This window comes from Homo sapiens, chromosome 12, assembly GCF_000001405.40.
Source record: "Homo sapiens chromosome 12, GRCh38.p14 Primary Assembly".
Lineage (NCBI taxonomy): Eukaryota > Metazoa > Chordata > Mammalia > Primates > Hominidae > Homo > Homo sapiens.
The window spans coordinates 39,751,676-39,764,271 of NC_000012.12; the positions used below are offsets into that span (position 1 = coordinate 39,751,676).

At 34.7% G+C, this 12,596-nt stretch overlaps 2 protein-coding genes across 6 annotated transcripts in view; one reads left to right on the forward strand and one right to left on the reverse strand.

Moving 5' to 3' along the window:
- The window catches only part of REDIC1 (regulator of DNA class I crossover intermediates 1), a 282,118-nt gene that overhangs the window by 125,493 nt on the left and 144,029 nt on the right, over window positions 1–12,596 (forward strand). The window contains exon 15 of the transcript NR_135051.2: window positions 2,581–2,657. The gene's annotated coding sequence lies outside the window, so the exon portion shown is untranslated. The remainder of the gene's footprint in view (window positions 1–2,580; window positions 2,658–12,596) is intronic.
- SLC2A13 (solute carrier family 2 member 13) overlaps window positions 3,350–12,596 on the reverse strand; it is a 351,057-nt gene continuing 341,810 nt past the window's right edge. For all 5 annotated transcript variants that reach the window (XM_011537847.3, NM_052885.4, XM_017018765.2 and 2 more), the window contains one exon: window positions 3,350–8,577. In XM_011537847.3, the coding sequence (XP_011536149.1) occupies window positions 8,351–8,577 (227 nt within the window). In that variant the 3' untranslated portion in view covers window positions 3,350–8,350. The remainder of the gene's footprint in view (window positions 8,578–12,596) is intronic.

Genomic DNA, 12,596 nt, shown 5'->3' on the forward strand with positions numbered 1-12,596 from the left:
GATTAAGAAAATGTGGCACGTATACATCATGGAATACTATGCAGCCATAAAAAAGGATGAGTTCATGTCCTTTGTAGGGACATGGATGAAGCTGGAAACCATCATTCTCAGCAAACTATCACAAGGACAAAAAACCAAACACCGCATGTTCTCACTCATAGGTGGGAATTGAACAATGAGAACACTTGGACACAGGAAGGGGAACATCACACACCAGGGCCTGTTGTGGGATGGGGAGAAGGGGGAGGGAAAGCATTAGGAGATATACCTAACGTAAATGATGAGTTAATGGGTGCAGCACACCAGCATGGCACATGTATACATATGTAAGAAACCTGCACATTGTGCACATGTATCCTAGAACTTAAAGTATAAAAAAAAGAAATTTGTTGATCACATACTATATGCCAGGCACTGTAGGAGGTGCTAGAGAGGCAGTAGTGAATAAGTTCCATGCTTTCATGCAGTGTATCTTCTAGCGTGGAATCCTCAGTGCCCACGCCATGGACGCATATTGGTTTGTGGCCTATTAGGAACCAAGCCACACAGCAGGAGGTGAGCGATGGGCAAGTGAGCATTACCAGCTGAACTCTGCCTCTTGTCAGATCAGTGGACTCTTATGGGAGCACAAACCCTATTGTGAACTGTGCATGCAAGGGATCTAGGTTGTGCAGTCCTTATGAGAATTGAATATCTGGTGATCTGGGGCGGAACAGTTTCATCCCAACACCATTCCCCCATCAATCCCCAACCTCCTAGGTCTATGGAAAAAATTGTCTTCCATGAAACCGGTCCCTTGTGCCAAAAAGTTTGAGGACCGCTGTTCTGGTGGGAGAAACAGGCAAGGGATAAGAAAAGTAATAGTCTTCAAATAATGATACCATGAAGAAAATGAAAGAGTGACTTGGTAATGTATTCGGGTGAAAGGCATGATTGCATTACACAGAGTCAAAGCAGGCTCTGAGAAGACAGGATTTTGAGCTGAAAATCACAAGAAAAGAACTGGATAAACAAAGAATAGGGCAACAAGCATACCAGGCAGAGACAACATCGTGTGCAAGTTCCCTGAGGTGGAAATAAGACAGTTTTACAAATCCCTGAGTAACTTGCATGTAAATCCAGTCAATCATTTTATTATTCACTAGATGAGCTCACCATTTAAAAGAACATGTCAGATTCCTTTTTAAAGTCATGACTCCCAACTTCTATGCAGTGGTTTCTAAACTATTGTGTGCTGAAAAATCACCTGCAGAGTTGTTGAAAATGGCTTCCTGAGCTGTATCCTCAGAGAATCTGATTCAGCAGGTGGCGAGGCCCGCAGATTTGCATTTGTAACACACTCAGGTGATGCCAATGCTACTAGTCTGAGGACCATGCTTGGAGAACTGCTGCTCTAACGTATGTTTTGTGAGTTTAGTATCTATTTGCTAAAAGTAAAGCATAACAAAATTTTCTTTTTTGTTAAAGACTAGACTGCATGCTGATGATCTGAAATTAGTTTTTGGAGGTGCAGTGGAAAAGTACACAAAACATTAAAGGTTAAAAGAAGTAGCCTCAATGTTTTATACTGCATTCAAAGCATCTATAGTAAGATGAGCTTAATTTCAATACAGCCAATTAGAGAGGGTTAATGTCACGGTTTTTGTTTGAATCAGGTTTCAAAAATTACTTTTTAAAACATTGAAAAGACTTTAAATGAGAGATTACTGATTTTCTAAACTTATTTTTATTTCTTGACTGTGAGATCACAGAAATTGTGTATTAAATCCTGTTAATCTGGAGAATATGGGAAGGTTGTTCTTTTCATCAACTGCCATTCAGGAGGACACATATGGAAAAGAGATGGAGAAAGGAAGAAGGACATCAGGCTAGTCAGCCAGATCAGCTCAAATCATTCTGGTCAGCTGAGCTGGGAGGACATATGTCAAAGAAGCCAATGTGCTCCTGTTCCTAGTAGTTGTTCTCAGGAAAGGATTTTATAAGCAAATTGCCTGTGCTTTGAACATTGTGACCTTAGTAGCATCAGGGATAGGATATGGATGATGAAAACAAAAGCTAACAGTTATCCAGTCCTTACTATATGCTACTGCTCTACTTGCTTTCCATGATTCATTGATAACCTTCACTACACACAAGTGAGGTAGACGGTAGTAGCATCTCATTTTATAGACAATGAAAGTGAGGCAATGAGTGGTTCAGTAATTTAGGTTACTAGGCAGTAAGTTGAAAAGCTGGGATTCAAATCTAAATGATTTGAATTCAGTCTGACCTCTTAGACAATGCATTATATTGCCTCACATTTGACAAGAGTCTCTAAATGAAGATTTTTCAGGATTTGTTCCTGTAATCCATATGCACTCTTTTACAATGCAAGGATTCCACAATTTCTTTCTGTTTTTAATCTATCTGCCTGGGTCTGAAAAGATGTTCCAAAGGAGGACATAGAGGGGAAGACTTTTGGTGTAGTCACTGCAAAGAAGAGTTTTCTATGACTTTCTAGTGTGATCTTGGGCAAGTGACAAAAATGTTTTGAACTTAAGTTTTAGTACCTGGAAAAGGATGACAATGTTTATTCCACAGGATTGGACAATTAAATGAGGATTTTTCTGCCCACTGATACTGACATGTTCTGCACTATTCAGGTGTCCGTTATTCAGGTGAGTGGACAATTTATGTGTAATTCGTGGGATTTTCAAGGGTCATTTGACTTGGATTTTTGCCTTACCTGCTGACGTTAAGAACCTTAGTTAGATGTAACTCAACTGTAAGCCTTTGAATGACAGTAGGTCTAGAGTCTTCAGAAGATCTCCTTGGGCTATTTCTAAGTCAGGCTCAGGAAGACACACAACTAATTATGGACACGTGTCTAGCAACTGCCAATATCAAACAAGTGTATATTTGCTAATTATAGCTATGATTGAGGCAGAATGGCAAGGGAGAGCAACGGAGTCCCAAAAAGAACTGTCAACTGGCCTTCCAGCACGATTGTTCATTTTCACTTACAGAACCACCACCAAAGATAATTTTTGACAACTCAACTTAATGGTTCATGTCAACATCTGGTTCTGACAATAACTATAATTATTACTTCAAGGGTTCCTAAGCACCACATTTCACAGTTTTATATTCAGTATTTAGAATAATTCTTTAGAACAATTTTTAGGTATTATAAAATATTTTTAAAAGATGATTTATCATATCCATAATCAAAAGAAATAAAATATCATTAAAATGAGTAGGACTGCATTAATATATAGAGGTAGATTGTCTTTCTAGATGCTTTAACTATCATCTAACCTACATCCAAGGAAGATAACTAGAAAAAATAAATAAGTGCAAGGGAAGTTAATGAGTAATGAATTATTTTAACTTTTATTTGATTATTTTCATTTACAGTTCTGGCACTGACACTTTTTTTAAAAAAAGATTTTAATTTTATGTAAAGATTGAACTTCAATAAAATAACTTAAAAAACATTTACATGTATATCACTAAATCTCCATAAAATATACAATACTTTTGATACAGCATAGGCTAGGATGACTTTGAAGGAAATGGTACATATTCATAATTTTTAAGAGATATCCCATATATCGCTTGTGGGAATAAATACTTATATTGAATTTGCCAAGACATCTGAAGTATTAAATACTATATAACATGCACTCAGAAATTAAAATATACAGTTTGAAATACATATATTTTAAAAGCATAAAACTGTGATTTGATTTAATCTAGGTATACATTAGAGCTTCTAAATAGAAATTTGAATATTTATTACAAATAAAAGATACTTTAACATCAAGTGATATATAGTCCAAAAGCTGCTAGGAGACAGTTTGGACGTGTAGAATATAAATTTCTACTTTGGCTAGAGTTGTCTCTTCTTTTTTAACCTTTAAATGAGATGGAATAATGTTGTTTGCTAAAACTTTAAAACTTTACAAAATGTTGGTTACTCATTAGCTGCATGATCCACTTCTTTTTCTCATTTATGCTGACATGACAAAATCAAACACATGAACTTAACTGTCTAAAATAAAAATGTGAATATTACTGCTAAATGAAGGCATTTAAAATTCCATAGACCAAATTACTCAAGTACAACAGACTATATATTTTGTACATATAAAGATTTACATAAATTATATTGTTTTAGCTCACTAGCAAATTATACGGATAAAATACTTTCATGAACTTCTGAACATCAACACTCTTATAAAACACCTCTTTGATGATTACTGGCACACAAAAATTTCCTTCTCTAAAGAGACAAGATACAAGAAAGAGTTGGTAGCAGTTAGCTATTTGGCATTTTTAAATGATTGCTATTTCTAGAAAAATAGCAGCAGTATTGCTCACCTAGAAGAGCTGAATGTACCGACAATTTATAGACTGCTACAACCTGAACCATTTCATCAAATTGGCTTTACATTATTGTACATGAGGCCAAGAAGATTGGTAAAAGTGACAGAAAACAGGATGTAAAAATTAATCCACAGAACAATTCTGAGCCTTCTTATTGGCAGCAGCTACATATGAGCTATAAATTTTAACCACAATTTAATACATTTTGCTATAAAGCACATATTATAAATTCTCTGCTCCTGGTCTGATATAATCATCTATTTCTTTTACTCATAGATACTGAAAAGGTCTTAATTTGGTAATTAAAAACTTGTCACAACAAGTGAATAAAAGTCAGTTGTTAGGTACTTAGTATAAGTTGACATTTTATAACTTGCAATATGGTAAAAAAAAATCTGATTATAACAAAACGTCTCATTAATTTTGTTGTTTTTAATAATTGTGCTGATGAAATAAAACCAAAATAACATTCCAACTCTCTCCACTGTATTACAGTATTTATGAACTGTATTAGTGTCACTAAATTCTGAGACTTTCTTAGATAAACATATGGATGGTATTTTCTAAAACATTCTTCCATTTCCACCAACTTCTGGATCTGTGAGTTATTCTAATATATTTTCAATATTATTTTGTTGTTAAAAAGCAAAAGGGTAAGTTGTCAGCTTATATTTTTCCTGATCATTCTTCCCCTGTATAACAGATACTGAAATTACAGCAAAAATTTCATAAATTCCTTGCTTTTACTGATTTCCCCTTTTAGAGTGAATAACTTAATATTTAGACTCTTATGTACTAAAATCAGGTTCAGTGGTAAAATTAAATTATGAAAAAATAGTCGGTATTCTCATAGCATTTTGTATCAGGGAACTACTGTGTATGGCTGGGAACAAAATTTAAAATGGACACATTACCTTTTATTATTTATTATTTAAATATTTTACATATATTAAAAATAATCATGTTTTGGGAAATGATTGACTAAGGAGCAACAATCAAAATTATTAGGAATGTTTACATTGAAGAAAATTATTAACGGCAAACCCTTTTGACATCACATTCAGCCCTATGTGTTTATATGCAGATGAAATGATATATCCTCTTAAGTCTAGTGCAGATCAGACATCCAGCCTCAATAGGGATTTGGACCTTCTTCATTGTATTTTCCTAAGACATAATATACCTCTATCAAATCTGCAGCATGTTTCAAAGGAAGTCTGTAATTTTGGTTGAAAGCATGATACGTAATCTGTGTCTGCTTTAATATGGTAGGTCAAATCACATCATATATAAATTGTCCTACAAAATATATATTTGATGATACTACAAATGGAATGTTTCCAAGTTGATAGTGGTAGCCAAATATGCTGGGAACTTAAAAGGTGCCTAATATAAAAAAACCTGCAAAATTTAAACATTTAATTTTTAATATACTATAAATGTTCACCAAATCTAAAAATAATACCCTAATTGTATAAGGTTCCTTTTCAAGTAATTGTTTCTAAAAAGTTATAAATAATTCTTATACTGTGCCTCTCTGTCTTATACTTCAAAGATATGGAATATTATCTTTAACACTATATAAATAACAAATAGTCCTTTAAAGTAGGGGCTCAGGGGAGTAGGGGAGGAGAACTGTGGCTAATTTTCCCTGTTATTATGTGCATTTATGGTTATAAAGTTGAAAACATTGTTTTCTTATATCAGGGAGAACAGGCCATGTTCTGCTTTAGGAAATAACAAGAGTCCAGTTTCTCCTTTAATAAAGTTACTGTGCATCAGCCCAGCTGAGTTTATAAGTATATAGTTAGTTAAGGCTACATATACAATAAAGAGAAGGATTGAGGCAATTATTTTGATTAAGTCCAAAAAATAAATTTTTAGAGAGCACTTTATTGGTCTACTTTTTCTCCTTATTATATTTTGATTGTACCATATAGTAGCTTATTTTTCACTTCAATTTACCTGTGTAAAATATTAGATAAGAAATTTCTTATGAGATAAGAAATATCAATAGAATAATAATTTTCCCTATTAAATCATATCTGCTTTTCTGAGGAAAAAATCAATACTAATATTCCCTTGGAAATCAATTGTTAAAGCACCTAATTCAAGGAAAAAACCTCTATAAAATATTAATTTTTTTTATTATATGAAATGACCAAAGGGAGAAAACGTTTTTGTTTTTGGTTAATGGATTTTTAGGGCACTAAATTGACAGTTTAAGCACATATTATACCTCTGGTGACTTAGAGAATGAACTTCCTCAGCTGTATTCTCAGCTTGATAACTGTGATAGGAACAAGCCAGACATTAAAAGAATAGAGTATCTTGGAGACTGGAAGAAATATTTTGAATATGGAGATAGCCACCTTTTCTCTCCAAATACAGTACCTTATTAGATGTTTAGAGCCATTTAAAAATGCATCAAACTGATGTATTCCTAACTGGCCACAGAAGATTCATTCATATTTTTCCTGGAACTAGCAAGTAATTTTGTGATCAAGTAATTTTGTACATACTATATAGTTCTTAATAGAAAAGCAAAAATTAAGAGTTCAGTGATGAATTACCATAAAAACCAATGAATACCTTGGAAAGACATTGTGGAAATATAATTAAGCCTGCATTTCTTATAGACGTGCTATATTAGAACCAATTATCTGTTCCAATAGGCAATCTCAATTTTTACACAAGAAGGAAAAACTAAGCCAAGAATAAGAAAAACACAGAGACAAATCTATGTATCTTTTTTTTTTCTGGTAAATTCTCAGGAAAATGAGAAAAGTGTGCAAAATAAAAACGAGTTTATGCTCTTAAAGTAAAAAAAGACAAGTACAATTAAATAATAATATGTGACATTTCCCTTAGGAAGAGCTAATAAAAAGTTAAGAAAAAAGTCCCATTATTTTTATTAAACAAACACCAATAACAGCAGGATTATTTCTGCCACTGATTTCCTTCCTCTTTTTTGTTTCAAAAATTATTGTTTGAATAAAAGAAAGGGGAAAAATGGTTTGCTTGCAGCTATGTATGTAACACAAATGAAGGCACGAAATAGTAGGACTCCAAGGCCAATGAGGAAGGTGTAGTGATTTGGGCATGAACAAAAACTGACCCTGATATACAGTTAAAGATCTGGCACTATTTTGCATTTATAATTGCATACCTAAGTGACTAACCAATTTGGAACCCATAAAAACCTTTAATCTGTTACTTTCTGAACATAAAAGGTACTTCTCAAAACTTCCTAGCTCATCTGCGCAAATGTATGCCTTATCACTGATGCAAAAAAAAGAAGTATGAAAACAACCCGACAGATTATATTTTCATAATGTTCAAAAGATAGTGTGCAGAGTCAGTATCTGAAGAACTCCCAATATCTGAATTGGAGAGAAACAAAAATATGGAATCCAAAGGAGATACGGACAGCTGTGCCCTTGTAGGAGGCACTTTGGAATTTGTTGATGAAAGCTTACATGGAATTTAGTTTGTAACAGCTGATCAGAGATAAGCCACTACTCTGTAGGAAAACTGAGGGCCAATAGGCCATCTTTTGACACAGAACACCCTTGGACCATCTCCCAGAATCCTTTATAAATATATTATACATATGTAATTTGGCTAGATTAGCACTGACTCTGTTGCCACTAATAATTATAAATGGTCTTAGGAAAAAAGGATACCACTGAAGTCACTGGGTACAATATTCATTTTAGACTATTTCAGGAAGGCATTACACACATTTGCTTAAGAATTATTAGATTAAAATCTCTGTAAATATTTTTTAAAATATTGTTCCTTGTGGAAAAAAAAAGTCATCATGGTTGTATCTTCCTCCTAATCAAGTATTCTAGAATATGAAGTCAATCAAAACTAGGCTGTGGAAAGAACCAGATTAGAAGCAGGGCAGTGAAGTCACCAATTGCTGTTCTTCTCCCCCCAGTTTGTTTAAATAACTAAATATATGAGCAGCTGAAAATTATTCCACATCAGAAGCATCATTGTCAGAAAGATGATAGTTACTTCCCTTTACCCGAATATATTCAATATATCTCCCTTCATCAGAATCTGAAGTGCCACATGTACATAGCCTGTTGTCAAAGAGTGATTCAATTTCCTCTAATTTTTTGCCTTTGGTCTCAGGAAGACAGCCATAGATGAAAAGGAGTCCCACAGCAGCAAATCCAGCATAGAGGAAGAAAGCTCCTGCAACGGAATATAATAGATACATGAATATGAATATATAGAGAGAGGCTTAAGTTGGAAAGATTACTTGATTTTGACTTTTTTTTTCTGGTCAGTCATGCATAATCACAGTATGAAATGGACCAAAAAATTACTATGAACCTGGTTTACTCCAATTGTTCCAACTCTGAGAATATGATGTAATGTATCTTTCTAAACTCAAGTTTAGAAACTCAAGAATAATAGAACAGGCTCAGATGTAAGTTTGGCTTTGAAGCCTTTCCTCCCTTCCCTGACTAGAGGGAATTATTCTCTTCCATGTGCTATCACAGCATGTTGTTGAGACCCCTAAAATAACAACCAAGAAATATTATAATTATGTACACACACGTATGCTTGCCTTGTCTATTACACTAGAGGCACTTTGAGGTCAGAAGAAGTTCCTTTCTTAATTTGTTTTTCATTTCCCTCCACTAGAATGTAAACTCCATGAAGTCAGAGAATTTTGTTTTGCTGTAAGATTATGCATGTCAATGCAGAACAGCCAGAAACACATAAATATTAGCTAGTTTGGTTTTCTAAGGGTCATGATAGCAAGCCTAGATGGATGAGATATATGAATGTATGACTTGTTTATATTCTCTACACATTTCCAAGATGGACTTTTAAAATAATTGAATTCCGACCAGCCTGGCCAACATGGTGAAACCTGTCTCTACCAAACACACACACACACACACACATAATTGAATTGCCAATTTGAATATAAGAAACTATACTTGTACTTTTGATGGTGGAAAACAACAAAGTAAAATGGAGCCCCTGTCTAATTTTAGGCTTTCAGTCCAGACCATCATGTGTATGAGATGGGGGAAGTAAGATGAAAAACTAATGTGACAATTGGCTGGAGAAAGGATATCAGACTGGGAGTGGGAAGAACTGAGTTTAAGTGTTGGCCATGTGACTTCTGGATAGTCATTTAACCTCTTCTCTGGGCCTCTGTTGCCTCATTAAGTAAAATAAGGGGGCTTCTCAGCTCCTACTTAAGTGTTGGCAGTTTATGATTCTGTAAATCTTACAGCCAAAATCAGGGGCATGTATAGGAGATATAGTTAAGAGATGGTTGAGAGAGAGACTTGATCTGTGTAATGGGGAAAATAATTCTAGCTTTGCCCAACTGTAAAGAATAGAAATAATGTATGTTATCATGCCCATTAGAATTCTGAATATCAGTTGCTCAAAAAAGTGATGCCCAGATTGTTAAATTCTACTAAATGACCAGGAAAGGAAGAGTTGCTATTAAGATACAGAATAAGATTAGTGTGACTAATTAATTGGGATGTTTTTACAAAAAGGGTGATACTGATAAGCTAGCTCTTGGAGAATGGGGGAATTTTGACAAAAAAAAAATGAAAGGAGATGAAGTCCTGTGTTCTGAGTACAGATATGCAAGACTGTGGAGGTAGGAAGAGAAATGGAATCTTTAGCAGGGAGGGACAAAGACGGGATAGTAATTATGATGAAGATAAAGAAAAAATAAGTACAGATGGTAAAACATTTTAGATTAAACTAGGCTTCTAAACTACAAAATCTGTAACAGCAAACCCAGTTTGACTTTTAAATATAATAGTATATTTTATCTTCATCATTATCTTTCACAATTTGGGAACAGTAGCATAATTAGAAGTAACAAATCAAATCTGTCAGCGCTAAACTCACTCCTATAGTTAAAAAACATTTGTTGGGTTAGGAAGATTCCTGAAGTTGATTACAGATTCTTTCTTGTGACCTGGATTCCCAAAGCTGAATAATATCAAGGAATTGCTATTAAAATACAAGACCGTTTTACAAAATCTGAGGAATCCAAAGCACGCAAATGCCAAAACTGCCTACTCAGTGTGGGTTCCAATGGTTAGACCTGTGGCTAAGTCGTGGAGGAGTGTGGGCAGACCTGGGAGGCTGTGACCTGGTCCATGTCATGGTCAAATCAGTCACTATCTCAGTTTCTCATTTATTCCTCCCTTGGAGTGAAAATGGCAAGAAAAAATGTCTGTAACGAGTCCATCAGGACTATTGAACAGTTAGATATTCCTCACCTTTATTCTTCTAAGGATTTAAATCTTATTAGAGCCCTACATTAAGTTCCAGATTAAAACAACTATTTAATTGAATTACACAAATTGACTACCTCAAGAGAGAAGCTTTGACATAATGCCCCCCAAGGGATCTCTTTAGCCACATGTGCTGTATATAAAATGGCATATTGGTGATATAGCAATGATACTTTTTAGTAATAAACATTATTGAATGGGGGCACAAGGCAGACCTGTGTAAGCAATATGGTTGAGGAAGGAATCAAATTTTGAGATCTTATGAAACAATAAAAAAGGAGGCAACAAAGAAGACATAACTATTTCCAGAGGAATACACGATTAGGATGTATATTTATTAAATGAGGAATATAAATGCATAGCTTACATAAACCAGTAACATGTGGATTAAAATGAGACACAAAAAGGGAGAAAAACTAGCCTGAATGAACTATTTTTCTACTACTAGAGAGTAGTAGACCAAATGGACCAGTGCTCTGACATGAGAGAAGCTTAATGCAAAGCAACACACTTTTAACTGTTTATTTTTGAAAGAATTCTGCTTATGCCCTATTTAAATTTCATTACTGTTGCCTCATTTTTCTCTGGTTTTCTGGCAGGATAAATTCAAGAAAGAGGAGCTTTGCTGTCAAAAGTATAATCATGTAAACTTTTATTATTTGGTCTATGCCTTTCTATGAAAAATGCTTTCTCAGGATGCGAGCATATACTTAGGTCTTCAAATATTTAAGTGTTCTCTAGAATCAGTAAATACGAGGAAATATTTATTGTGCTCGTATTTATTATGTCATGAAGATAAGTTTATGAATTTATCGAAAAATTTTAATTGCCAAATGGGATCCAGCTGAATATACTAAATATATATCCAGTTTAAAATGCCAGTGCATTTCCTTTCCAAGAAAATAAATATTTCAAATGTCTTAAGTGGTGATTAGGAGAGAGAAGAGTTTTATGAAGATAATAAAAGCATTAGATAAATACCATTAACTAAAAGCAAATACCAGTTCAGCATGGTCAGAAGAGATGGGGAATAGATTTTTATAATGTTTCATCATATTCACCATTCATCTGCAAAATTTATCCATGTATTTATTCATTTGACAAACACTTTTTGGTGCTTATCAGGTGAACAGGATGCCTTGGCAGGAACTGGGAATGTAACAATGAACAAGGCACAGTCCTGGCCCTCCAGGGATTTATAGTCTACTAGAGAGAGCTAAGGGCAGACAAACCTGTTCTTGCAAAGAGAAATGATAAGTGGCCAGAGCACAGAGTAAAGAGATTGCGGGGAGATGAGAGAAGCTCTTCTGGGAGAATGGTCTAAGCAGCAGGCATTCCGTCTCTACCACATGGACTTATGAGGATATTAGAATGAAACCTCATACTTCATCATGAATAATCCTATTGCAACCTATAAAGTCATGTGAACAATGCAGAAATCTTTTTTCTAAAAAGCAAAGTCTTTTCCTGACTCAGCCACTAAGCACTATTGTTTTTCATTTTGAATTATGGCCTCCATACATTTGCATTTGAATACTTCCGTCATGTTTACACTTTTGCAAGTGGTAAGTACTGGTCTCAGAGGACACTGAAATGCACAAGCACTGGCCTGAGCAGCACAGGTGATACAGTGGAAGGTATGGCCACAGCACAGCATACTGTTAAGCATTTGAGGAAGCTACTTTCAGCCCTACGCAGATTCTGCTCTTGGACTGGACGCTATGCCTGTCACAGGACATCTCATTGGCCCTAGACTCCCTGCCTACATCTTTTTACCATTTTCTGTTTTTTTTTTTTGTTTGTTTCTGTGAAACTAAAAGCTATGGTGTAAAGACTTCCACCTGGGGAGATAGCTGGGAGATGTCTGAGTTGGGAGAGGGGTTGGGTGACAGCCCTAAGCACTGTGGAACAAGAAGCAGTGCTGTTTAG